The sequence below is a fragment of the Homo sapiens genome, chromosome 12 (genome assembly GCF_000001405.40).
Source record: "Homo sapiens chromosome 12, GRCh38.p14 Primary Assembly".
Taxonomy (NCBI): Eukaryota; Metazoa; Chordata; class Mammalia; order Primates; family Hominidae; genus Homo; species Homo sapiens.
Window position 1 is genome coordinate 19,251,374 of NC_000012.12, and position 13,382 is coordinate 19,264,755.

The window sequence follows — 13,382 nt, forward strand, 5'->3', positions numbered from 1 at the left end:
TGCAGCCTGGGCAACAGAGCAAAACTCTGTCTCAAAAAAAAAAAAAAAGAAAAGAAAAGAAAAAAAAGTTGTATCACCAGATGAGGATAGGTGTGTTTCATAAAACAGGCAGTGAACTGAAGTAGCTGGTACATGTTTGAGGTGTGTGCAGATATACATTTTGTGTATTCCTACATGGCTGGGTTTTGTTGGGTGCAGTTTTTTGCATCCATCTAGAGTCTCTCACAGATAAAATCATGCATAAGCAAATGCCAAGTTGTGTTGTGCTCAAATTGTTCCTTTAACGTACAAATCATGTTGAAACAGTTCCAGCAAGCGTTATAGCAGAACTGATGATTCTCTTGATCTGAATTTTGAGGCCCATCCAAAAAAAAAAAAAAAAAAAAAAAACTTGTGAAATGCAGAAAAGAATGGCAGCTCTAAGATAAAAACATACAATTTGTAATAATACAGGGGACAAACTTTGGTAGAATTGAGAAAAGGCTAGAATCATTGTCTTCCCTTCCCTGCCCTTCCTGTGGTCCTGAGCAGTCCACTCCTCCGTTGTGCCAAGACAATGGTCAGGACCTAACAGTGAGCCAGCTACCTCCCAGGGTGTCAAGTGCTGTATCTATTAAATTTTTTCTAAATATTAACAGATGGCTCTATGTGCTTCTTAGACTACTTGATTTAAGGAATAATAGAAACACTATGTTTCATTAATGATTCTACTCTTACAATAGTCAATATGGAATTTTTTTAAAACTATCTATATCTTTATATTAATACTGTTTCAATTTTATTTAATGGATAAAGCTTCAGAGTATTGAGTTACCCAAAAAAATATGAAAATTAGGATTTGGAAAAAGAACTTAAGCATATGAAATTTACCTGGAAGTTTGCAGGTTGTGGTTATAGACTTCTCACCATACACAGCACATGTACTAATATTTTAAGATTAACAAAAGAAAACTAATATTCAATACAGACCTTACAAGGTAAATTTTCTAATGTCAGGCATGTCAATGATAGGTCTCTGTTACAGATTACTTTATGGTATATGACTTAATGAAAATTATTATAGACTATTTAATATATCAATGTATATTGCATATTATTTTGAGCATCTAATATTTTTGGCTTAAATAAATAGGGTTTTTTTCCTTCTTTCATTCAAGAAGACAGTTGAAGACCTAATCTTATCATTCAACCTAGAAAGAATACTATTTCTTAGGCAAACATCTTTTTCTCCAAAAATAGTCATAACTTAATTCAAAGCAATTTTTTTCAGTAAATATAACAGATTTTTCTTTGTTTTTGTTGTTGTTTCCACATTTCATTTAAGATTTTTGCTTCTCCTTCAGATTTCATTTTTTTCTACAACATACCTTCCTCAAGTGTCAAAAAATTAATCTCATTACATTATCTATATAAAGGTTATTTTTAAAACAGAAACACTGTAAATTATTCCTGTTTCAGAACCTTCTATTTTTTTAAGGTACTGGTGCCCATATAGTAGTACTGTTAGGTTTTCTTTCCATTTATGAATTTGGCATTAGTACTCTGTAATGCACCCATGTTGGACCATAAAACAGTGGAGGTAAGTAGACACTCATACTTACTTTTCATGACCCACCTATGAAGTGTAAAATACAGTAATCATTGTATTTTACAATGCAGTGTAAAGAGCTAAACAGCCAAATCAACTTACCTTTTTTTTTTTTTTTTTTTTTTTTTTGGGAGACAGAGGCTTGCTCTGTTGCCCAGAGTGGAGTGCAGTGGCACAATCTCAGCTCACTGCAACCTCCATCACCCAGGTTCAAGCGATTCTCCTGCCTCAGCCTCCCGAGTAGCTGGGATTACAGGCACACGCCACCACACCTGGCTAATTTTTGTATTTTTAGTAGAGATGGTGTTTCACCATGTTGGTCAGGCTGGTCTTGAACGCCTGACCTCAAGTGATCCACCTTCCTTGGCGCTCCAAAATGCTGGGATTACAGGCGTGAGCCATGGCACCTGGCCTACAACTTAACCTTTGTTTATAAAATAATGAAAAAGGATTGAGGCCAGACTGAGAAGGGATGCATTTAACTTTTTTGTAAAAATATAAGTAACATTTACACACATATACACTCTCAATAGATAGTAGGAAAGATATATTTAGGAATCTCAAAAGGCTGGCGGCCAGGTGCCGTGTCTCATGCCTGTAATCCCAGCACTTTGTGAGGCCGAGGCGGGTGGATCACCTGAGGTCAGGAGTTCAAGACCAACCTGACCAACATGGTGAAATCCTGTCTCTACTAAAAATACAAAAAATTAACTGGGCGCGTGATGGTGGGCGCCTATAATCCAAGCTACTTGGGAGGCTGAGGCAGAAGAATTGCTTGAACCCAGAAGGCAGAGGTTGTAGTAAGCCGAGAATGCGCCATTGCACTCCAACCTGGGCGACAAGAATAAAACTCCGTCTCAAAAACAAAAAAAAAGGCTGGAAGTTTGAATTTCATTTCCTTTGTAGACTAATGTTACAATAAATAAATGGGAATTTTAAATACCTGCATGTTCTGTTTTTCTTTTTTCCTTTTTTCAGCCATAATGAAAGGAAAGTGACCTGCAAACATCCAGTCACAGGACAACCATCACAGGACAATTGTATTTTTGTAGTGAATGAACAGTAAGTAAAGAGTTTCATGGAATGCCTGTATTCAAAATTGGGTTAGCATTGAAATTGCTGTTATTTATATTTCAATTTAGCAGTTTTCTTATCTGGACATTTGTAGTCAAGTATAATAACAGAATGCCAGCTGTTCACAATGTGTCATATAGAAACCTGAGTTAAACATTTTTTTCATGAAGAATGTAATTTCAGAAGCTGTTTTTATAGTACTTCAAACGCAGTAAGCTCAAGAACCCGGGATGCAAGCTTAGAGAAACTGTGTAAATGGTTAGATTATTAAACTAATTTGAGCTCACTTTTCTCATCCTTAAATCAGATAGTGGTAATTACTATTTCACAAGAGTTTTATAAGCATCAAAGAATGTATTATACTATAAAGCTATTCACAGAGTTAGTTACTGAAATTGTTATTGTTTTTAAAATTAGAATAATCTCATAATTCATTTTTAATTTTTCAGTTGGGTGACCAAGTAGAATATCTGCAATAATGCCTATTATAAATAAACATGATAGGCCGGGCACAGTGGCTCACGCCTGTAATCCTAGCACTTTGGGAGGCCAAGGTGGGCGAATCACTTGAGGTCAGGCATTCAAGACCAGCCTGGCCAACATGGTGAAACCCTGACTGTACTAAAAAAATAGAAAAATTAGCCGGGCATGGTGGAACGTGCTGGTAGTCCCAGCTACTGAGGAGTCTGAGGCAGGAAAATCACTTGAACCTGGGAGGCAGATTCTACAGTGAACCAAGATTACGCCACTGCACTGTAGCCTGAGCAACAGAGTGAGACTCTTGTCTTAAAAACTAATAATAAATAAACATGATAATAATGTATTTTTGGCTTAGGAAAAGCGTTAGCTGTATTTAAAGTTGTTGTAAGTATTAAGGCCTGACTCTAGAGTAACTAGGATCCAAGTACTGTGAAAAAGTAGGACACTCGCATTGTTAACTGTAGAGAAGTGTAATTATAAAGCGGGTTACATACACAGCAAGTTCTAGCATTTTGACATATATTTTCAGGACTGTTGCAACCATGACATCTGAAGAAAAGAAGGAACGGCCAATAAGTATGATAAATGAAGCTTCTAACTATAACGTGACTTCAGATTATGCAGTGCATCCAATGAGCCCTGTAGGCAGAGTAAGTTATTTTGCTTTATATTAATTATTGATAAGGAGTAAACAGTATCTATACCGTTACTCATAATGGACTTAAAAGTATAGAATAATAATTACATTTTTATTATTACATGAATTTGAAGGTAATTGATATAAGAAGCAACAGCCCGAAATACAAAGTAATAAGATTGTAATTCAGTGACTTAAATTTTTAAATTTGGAATAATTTTAGAAATACATTGATATTTGTGAGAGAGAATGGGTACACTTAAGTTTTAAAGGTGATTATTCATGTAATAGCCTAGAAATCAAATTATCTGACTATAAGAATGCTTAGATGGAGAAAACATTTTTCAGCAAAACCATTGTAATAGTATATTATGTTTATTGTAAGGAAATAGATAATTATAAGATAATTATAATAATAGTATTTTAAATGCCAGTTAAGGTTTTTGAAATAAAATTTTGTTAGGAGATTATAAATGAATGTAAATTTTCAAGTAATATAAATAATTTCTGATTATTAAGTAAAATAAATCCAACAGGCTAACTGAGCATAATGCTTTATGAGTATATTTTAATTAAAATCTGGAGAAATTGATGAATGGATTGAGAGCCACTAGGTCATTGTCTTGAAAGAAAGTTGAATCTGTTCCTCATACTTTACACCAGAAATTTTCTAGATGGATCAGTTGTTGAAATGTTAAAAACAAAACTAAGAAAAAAACAATGGAAGATTTGAAAAAAAAAAAAAAAGAAAAGCTCAGAATGCAGATGGGCTTTCTAAATATGACATAAAACTCAGAAGTAACAATATAAAATAATGAGAAATTCAACCACACGTAATTATTATCCATGCAGAGTATCTGTAATTCATATAACAATTAAAGAATAATTTCCTTATAATTAAAGAAGTGCTGTGAATCAATAAGAAAAGGGCTTATGAGCCAGTTTGGAAATGGAAAAATTATATGAAATCAGTTTTCGGGAAAGAAAATGGAATTTACTCTTAAATATATGAAAAAAGATTCTCAGCCTCATCCATAATATGAAAAATACTAATTAAAACCAGAAAAAGACACCATTTCCACCTGCAGATTTCCAAAGATCAGAAAGTTTCATAACACAGCACACTAACAACAGTATGGGTAAATAGGCATTCGGTTTATATAGTGAGCTCCAAGAAATAATGGAACAGAAGAGTGGATATTAAAATATGCAGTCATTTCAGAAAAATACTCATTAATCATGAGAACAATTATTTTAGATAGATAGGCACACACATACAGTGATATTGGTTGCCACACAGTTGTGAGTGGGGCTAGCTGGGTGCTGGAGCCCAAGAGTGAGTAGATTGATCTTTGTGTATCTTTTTGTGTCGTTTGAGTTTTATACTGTTTTTAAGCATTACCTGTTTGAAAGTAAATTAAAATCTATCAAGAAAACATGCTTTAGGAAAAATTTTGTTGATATTGGGCCTTAAAATTTTCTTATATACTAATAAAAGCTTCCCAAAACAAAATTCTAAAGAAGTATGCTGGATTTCCAAAGATTCTGAACAAGTAGAAAAGTAAGAGATAATTTTATGTTACTTTATAGCTTCATTGTTTTCATCTTTGTTGGTCACCATTATGATTCCTGCCAAAATAAATCTTCATGGTAACCATAGCAGTATTTTTAAAGACTGTATATCCTTATGTGTATTTTGAAGAATCCAGTAAACCCCATCTGTCTAGTTTAAGTTCAGAGTTGTCCATAAAAAAGAAAACACTACATCACATTAAGCAGATCCTTCCTGTCCTGTTTTGACTTGATGTGATATATTTGTTTATATTTAATATCTGTATATTTCTCCTCAGACTGAGTGCCATTAACTTTCTTTAATTGAACCTGCACTATTAAATGCAGATATAAAGGGAAAAGTTCTGTCATTTGGTTTATTCTTAAAGATCTGTTAACAGTTTTTACTCAAGATCTATTCATTTTATATAGCAGGTAGGACAAAATACTGCCACATACTCTGTGTTTCTAAAAATTGTATATCCTATCCAGATTTTAAAGGAAAGATTGTAAAACTTGTGATACCCTGGGGGAAAAATTTTTGGTGCGGAATTCTTACACTTCAAAAAACTAACCCAGCAAAAGTAGAATTTTAATAATTTTTCTGAAAAGATTTAAGTCCTGCAAGTCTTGGGAAAATCTGAAAAGAGATTAAATTTTAAGAGGAAGATAAGCTCAAATCTCTAGGCATTAATACCACATTTTCTGTCATGCTCTTTTTCTATTTAGACTTCACGAGCTTCAAAAAAAGTTCATAATTTTGGAAAGAGGTCAAATTCAATTAAAAGGAATCCTAATGCACCGGTTGTCAGACGAGGTTGGCTTTATAAACAGGTATTTTTTTTTTTTTGATATGAAACAAAAGACAGAATTAGAAGGAACCTTTTAAACTGAATGTACCTAAGACAATTCTATAAAATCATAAAATTAAGAAGGAACTATGGAGAAGCCACCCAGGTTATTTGACTGCTTGTTACCCCTGAAGAATATCAAGGGAACAGTGAAGACAGAAAAAGGAGTGGACATTACTTACAACTGAGATTGTGTGTTTGTTATGGGTATTTCTAGACTTAAAATTAAATATATGCTGTATGAAAATGTTAGAAATAGCATGGTAAAAGTATCCAGACAGAAATATTTTTAAAATGTCAAAATTGAAATAAACAACTAAATATTAATACAAGGGTACTCATTTTTCTATTGATATAAAAATTGTTAGAGAAATATACAGTTGTATATTTCCCCCCTTTATACAGAAATTTTACAATAATTTCAGATTTTTCTGAGTTTTTTCAGATTTTTGATTCTATAATATGAGATTATTCTTTCTTCCTCTTATTTTTTTTGGTTATTTATTTTTTCTTTTCTTTTTAATTTGCTCATACAGGGTTTACTCTCAGGCGTCCTGATTGGTTGATATTGCTGCACTGACTGGGGAACTTGCTATCTAAGCTCTTTTGGAACCTTATTAGTTTTGCAATTAGTAAATATATATGTACATTACTTCCTTGGATTTTGACATCATTTCGATTACATAGAGGCTATTTACTTCCCAGTTTGCAGCTAGGTTTCAGATAAGTGACTGGTAGATAACTGAGGTGACATCCTCAATCTTCAAGGCTTTTTTCTTTCTGATTCTATATACGTACAGATGATACAAAGCAAGTTAAATATTAGTTCATTGGTGTCAGTTTATTCTGTTAAATATTGCTGATTGCTTTCAGGTGACCTAATGATTTTTATTTATTGAGTCATAATTTTTATTGAAAGATCATTGACTATATTTTAACCATCTGATATTTAAGCTTTCCAGGCTAAAAGGTTTTTGCACATTTAGTTTCTTTTTTTTTTCTTTTTCTTTTTTTTTTTTTTTGTGAGACAGGGTCTCACTCTGTCACCTGCCCAGACTGGAGGGCAGCGGTGTGATCTCAGCTCACCGCAACCTCTGCCTCCCGGGCTCAAGCAATTCTCCTGCCTCAGCTTCACGAGTAGCTGGGATTACTGGCATGTGCCACTACCGCCAAGCTAATTTTTGTATTTTTAGTAGAGACGGGTTTTCACCACCTTGGCCAGGCTGGCCTTGAATTCCTTTCCTCAAATGACCACCCACCTTGGCCTCTCAAAGTGCTGGGATTACAGGCGTGAGCCACCACACCCAGCCCAGTTTCTAATAGAAAATTTTCTCCATATTTTCCAGCTAGTCTTTCTAATAAGTCCAAATTATGATCCACTATTTCAGTGCAAAACTGAGCCTCATACCCTAATGGCATTCCTTATTTAAAATAGCTCTTGTTCTTATTTCTTGATCCCTTGGTTAATTTAGCATTGCAAAAGTATTACCAAGTAGCTTCTCTAACAAGTGTTTATTTTGGGCCTAGTACAGTGGTTCACGCCTGTAATCCCAGCACTTTGGGAGGCCGAGGCAGGAGAATCACTTGAGCCCAGGAGTTCGAGACCAGCTTGGGCAACATAGTGAGACCTCATCTCTACTTTAAAAAAAAACAAAAAACAAAGATTAACCTGGTGTGGTGGTGTGCATCTGTAGTCCCAGCTACTCCGGAGGCTGAAGTGGGAGGATCACTTGAGCCCAGGATTTGAGCTTGCAGTGAGGTATGATCATGCCACTGCACTCCAGCCTGGGTGACAGAGCAAGACCCTGTCTCCAAAAAAAAAAGTGTTTATTTTGTAATATGTGTGTGACACATATTTGTTTACAGTGTCCCTTATCTGTACTAAAGAAAGAATATAATGAAGTAATTGAAGATGGCTGGGTGTGATGGCTCACACCTGTTATTCCAACACTTTGGGAGGCCAAGGTGGGTGGATCACCTTAGGACAGGAGTTCAAGACCAGCCTGGCCAACATGGAGAAACCCTGTCTCTACCAAAAATACAAAAATTAGCCAGCTGTAGTGGTGCACGACTGTAATCCTAGCTACTCGGGAGGCTGAGACACGAGAATCACTTGAAACCAGGAAGCAGAGGTTGCAGTGAGCTGAGATTGTAGCACTACACACCATCCTGGGTGACAGTGTGAGACTGTCTCGGAAAAAAAAAAAAATTGAAGATATCATTTGCCATTTAATTTTTTTTTTTTTTTTTGGTTTCTTTTTTGGTATAGCTGTCAATTTTAAGGCCAAATCTTTTATTTTGAAAGATTTTACCCATGTTAATTTCTATAATTCTGAAGTCATTACTCACAGCTAGAAATAAATTTAGAAATAATCAATGCACATCCAAACTGGCCTCTCGTTTTTTCTTTTTTCTTTTTTCTTTTTTTTTGGTATCTGTTTAATTCTCACTTCCAATTTTGCTACATTGCATATGGGAAAGTAATTTTTATTAAAATTCTAATTTTGTTTGAGCCTGATATTTTAATGAACTAAATTACTTAGAAATAGCTGCCAAAAAGTCTCTCTTTTTTGCATGATGAGCAAATCCCAAACTATAGGTGTAAGAAAAAAATGTTTATGAATTGCATTTGTATATTAAGGTTTCTTTATTCATAGTCATTTTAAATCACATTACCTTTGGAATAATTTCAATTCACATATTTCTCTTCTTGTTGAAGATTAACATATTTATTAAATCTGGTTTACCAGAACACATGCACTGCTGCATGGTTACATTATTCTCATCCTAGCAGATGTTTGTGTTGAGAAGAGTGAATTCCAAATTGCTTACAAATACGAAGCCAAATCAAATTGCCTTAATATATTCCTTTTGCATGATGGTATTTTCGGAGACCAGTCTAGTTGGGAATATCTAAGGCCCTAGAAAACTACCTCCAAATTTTTAATTGGCCTTTTAGATAGGTTATATTACACATGTATCAAACATACCTTGTTTTAAAAGTTTAAATAAATGCACAAGGCCAGGAACAGTGGCTCAAGCCTGTAATCCCAGCACTTCGGAAGGCCAAGGCGGGTGGATCACCTGAGTCAGGAGTTAGAGACCAGCCTGACCAACATGCTAAAACCCTGTCTCTACTAAAAATACAAAAAAAAATTAACCTGGCATGGTGGCAGGCGCATGTAACCCCAGCTACTCTGGAGGCTGAGACAGGAGAATCGCTTGAACCCAGGAGGCAGAGGTTGCAGTGAGCAGAGGTTGCACCATTGCACTCCAGCCTGGGCAACAAGAGCGAAACTCCATCTCAAAAAAATAAAAATAAATAAATAAATAAATGCACATGTGAGTTTTTGTTGTTTGAGAAATAATCCTTAAATATGCTGATTTAATCCAGGACAGTACTGGCATGAAATTGTGGAAGAAACGCTGGTTTGTGCTTTCTGACCTTTGCCTCTTTTATTATAGAGGTAAGTTTACCCTACTGTCTTAGTGTATTATTTTGTAATTGATATGTAATATAAGTTAAGTATCAGATACTTTAAAAAGTATTGTAACTCTGTGTGCTATTTTATTATCAACAAATAGTATCAAACAGATTTTTTCTCCTTTGACATATCATTCTGAGTTTTGGGGTTATGATAGAATAAATATGGTGCTTCAGACCGTGTTTGGTCTGAGTTTTGGTTCAGCTTCCCTAATCTTTGCTCTATAATGCTACTCTTGAATTCGGTGCTTAATAGATACAATCCTTAGTTTGAGGAGGTTCTTTTCACATGTCAGTTTTGTCAGATCTAGCTTATGGGTCCTTCAAGCACCCAATTCTGCTCCCCAGCAAATGATATTAGAATATTAAGGACTACTATTATGTAATGGCAAATGAAAAAAGTGAAATACAAATTTCATTTTGAACTTTTTTTTTGACCAAACACTGATAGCTTTTCTCTGGTTAGTAAATTATTAATTCAGTTTTAAATAAAAATCCAGAGATGTTTCATACACCACATGGATCTCTTAGATACTACAAGATACTACAAAGTTGTTACCTGCCAATGAAAGGCATACCTGGGTGGCACTCTCCGGAAAAGTCTGTCTCAGCTATAGTATAAAATGATGAATCTGGATAATCTCTCCTTCTTCTCTACTTTAAACTTTGGATAATGAAAGAATTAGATTGTCAAGCCATAATTAATAATTTATGACTTTTCTCTAGAAGTATAGCTTATAAGATATAACAGAGTTTTAGAACTGATTAGCAGTTTCTACATTTTTTGACTGCACAAAAGACCGGTAGCAAAATTTATAGTTGTGTATTGAAGCATTGTAATACATATTAACCTTCAAAATTTGGAATTACTAGAATTGTTTCCATCTGCAAATTGTAGTTGAGAATTACTGCTGAGTCAGAATTAACCAACCGTATAAAATTGCATTTTGTCATAGAGATGTTCCTTAGGCTGCAATTGCGGTGTTGTCTTTAGTTAAATGCTAAGCTTACTCTACAATTTTTCTTAGGGGTTTTCTCACTCTTTCAGAAAGTTAGGAGTTGTATTTCAGGCATTATCCTTAAGCTTATAATTTCTCTTCTCGTCTCTTTTTCAGTATATTTATGGACTACTTATAACAAGAAATGTTTATTATTTCTAATATTTTAAATTTCTAATACAAGAATTTGTTGGGTTTTGTTTTGTTTTGTTTTTGAGACAGAGTCTTGCTCTGTTGCCCAGGCTGGAGTGCAGTGGTGCAATCTTGGCTCACTGCAACCTCCACCTCCCGGGTTCAAGTGATTCTTGTGCCTCAGCCTCCCAAGTAGCTGGGATTACAGGCACGCGCCACCACACTTGGCTAATTTTTTGTGTGTATTTTTAGTAGAGACGGGGTTTCACCATGTTGTCCAGGCTGGTCTCAAACTCCTGACCTTAAATGATCCACCTGCCTCAGCCTCCCAAAGTGCTGGGATTACAGGTGTGAGCCACCATGCCCAGCCAAGAATTTATTGATGTTAATTTGCAACAAAAACCACTGAATTCCTTGTAATTTGCTATTGTTGTTGCTCAGGGAAAGGTGGGACTCATCACTTTTACTATAATAGGAAAGCTTTTGATCATATTTCAAAAATGTAAAAGTGAATCAGAAGCCATGCTGATGGATATAAAGATGAGAACAGTAGACACTGGGGAGCACAAGAGAGGGGAGGGCTGAACATAGTACCAACTGGGTACTGTGCTATCTGGGAGACTGATTCATTTGTACTCCAGACCTCAGCATCACGCAATTTACCTTTGTAACAAATCCACATGTGTACCCCTGAACCTATAATAGAAGTTGGAAAAACAAACAAACAAAAAACAAGCCATGCTGAGTCTGAGATTCCTTATTATTAACCACCTGCATTTTATATGCAATGTATTTATTAATTTTAGTAGTTTCCCAGATGGGGAATATAAAAAAGAAGAAACTGTAGAAACAAGAGAAATATCATTTAACTCATTTCAGATGACTGCTCTGCAGGCTGTTGGAAAGAAGTATATGATATTATACATTTTTACTATTTTATCAATAAGAAATATTAGATTTTAAATTAAAATAATTAGATTTCAGTGAGATCATAATAGCCTATATATTTTTTTTTGCATATTTAGTATTTGTTGAGTACTGTGCTGAGCAAGTTATATAGATGCTCTATTTTATCTAACCCTCACAGCTACCTGATAACGTGGGGAATCTTATGTTCATTGCACGCGAGGGGAAACTCATATACAAAGTGCTTACCTCAGGTCTCACAATTCGCAAGTGGCACAGTCAGGATTTGAACTCAGGCACTCTGACTCCAGAGCTGACACTGTTAGTTTCTATTCTCTTAATCACGAGTTTTTGCCCCCACTCAGATATCCTCTTCACTTAAATGCTGAGGGCAGTGGCCCCATTCATTTCTTCTCCATTTCTCAAAGCATCTAGTCTACTGACATAAAAAGTGTGTTGTCAGAATTTTTTGGAGATCAGTCCATGTTTTACAGATAATGGAAATTAAGACAGAGAAAATAACTGATTTGCTAAAGATATTCCCAAATATCTTTAAAACTAAGTAGAAATGGGGAATCTAAAATGTCACTTGAATCCAGTAAAATGTTGAGATTCTTACGGCTCTTGTCCCAGCTCATCTTCCCTACGAAGCAAATTTTGTGATGGAGATTAATATGTAGAAAGCTTTTTGGAGAGTGTTGTTCTTGGAACCATCAGCTGTGGCAAAGTGAAGGAAGGAAATGGCAGAGACAAAAGAAAATGGGATGCCATGCAGTCTCAGAAAGGCCTCGGCTGACCCCATAGAGAGTTCTTTCATTCTACAAACATTACTGAGTACTTACTCTTTGTCAGTCTATGAGTCTCTCTAGGTAATAGAAACTAGGACAGTGCTTCCATCAGGCTTGATATAGAACTAAACAGAAGAATGTCATGATTAGAAGCAGTTTAAGAAGCTGAAGAACTCAGGATAGTCATTTGATAGAAGGTGAAGATTTTTTACACGCACTGTCTTTGATTTTATATAATAATGGCAATATTTATTTAATGCTTCACTCTCAGTGCTGTTTTTGATGTGTATTAACTCATTTAACCCTCATAACAATCTTTTGAGGTAAGTCCTATTATCCTCAATTTTATAGATGATAAAACAGATACTAAGCATCAATAACTTGGCAAGGATTTCACAGCTAGTTAGTGTTAGGCAGGAAAACGGCCTCACGTAATCTAGGGAAATCACCCTGTGCTTTAGTGCCTCTGTCTATTCTGAAGCAACTTTAGAAAAGATTATTTTATTATGGGACATAGAAGGATGTATTATTTGATTAAAATGATTTTTTAATAAAGATGACTTCATGTGCTGTTTGTGACTATACCCTTTACATGAACATAAAACATAAAATTGGATTCAAAATTAGGGTTTGACTTATTCTTTTAAATTGTCACATTCTCTGTAATTCATGACTGCTTTCCAACTCTTTTTAACCTTTTGGACTAAATCTGTACTTCCGTTCATCCTTTTACGCATTAACGAATCGTACCTGAATGAGCACAGAATAGTAAAAACAAAATTTTGTTCCATTGCTATGAGAAAAGCTATTGAAAAAAGCCTCCATTTAATGTAACTTTTTCCCTTCTGGATGTTTCACCAGATACTCTGGAAATGAGGGCGAAATAAATAAAA

General features: G+C 34.9%; 1 protein-coding gene across 74 annotated transcripts in view; it reads left to right on the top strand.

Moving 5' to 3' along the window:
* Positions 1 to 13,382, top strand: part of PLEKHA5 (pleckstrin homology domain containing A5) — a 246,668-nt gene that overhangs the window by 121,641 nt on the left and 111,645 nt on the right. For 70 of the 74 annotated variants that reach the window (NR_169820.1, NR_169818.1, NR_169816.1 and 67 more), the window contains 4 exons: positions 2,567 to 2,650; positions 3,672 to 3,792; positions 6,060 to 6,164; positions 9,576 to 9,648. Coding sequence is in view for 67 of the 74 variants with exons in the window: in NM_001256470.2 (NP_001243399.1) it covers positions 2,567 to 2,650; positions 3,672 to 3,792; positions 6,060 to 6,164; positions 9,576 to 9,648 (383 nt within the window). In the remaining 7 variants the exon portion in view is untranslated. Of the gene's footprint in view, positions 1 to 1,718; positions 1,797 to 2,344; positions 2,651 to 3,671; positions 3,793 to 6,059; positions 6,165 to 9,575; positions 9,649 to 13,382 lie in introns of those variants that run through there. The other 4 variants (NM_001385952.1, NR_169817.1, NM_001385963.1 and 1 more) reach the window with 4 other exon arrangements.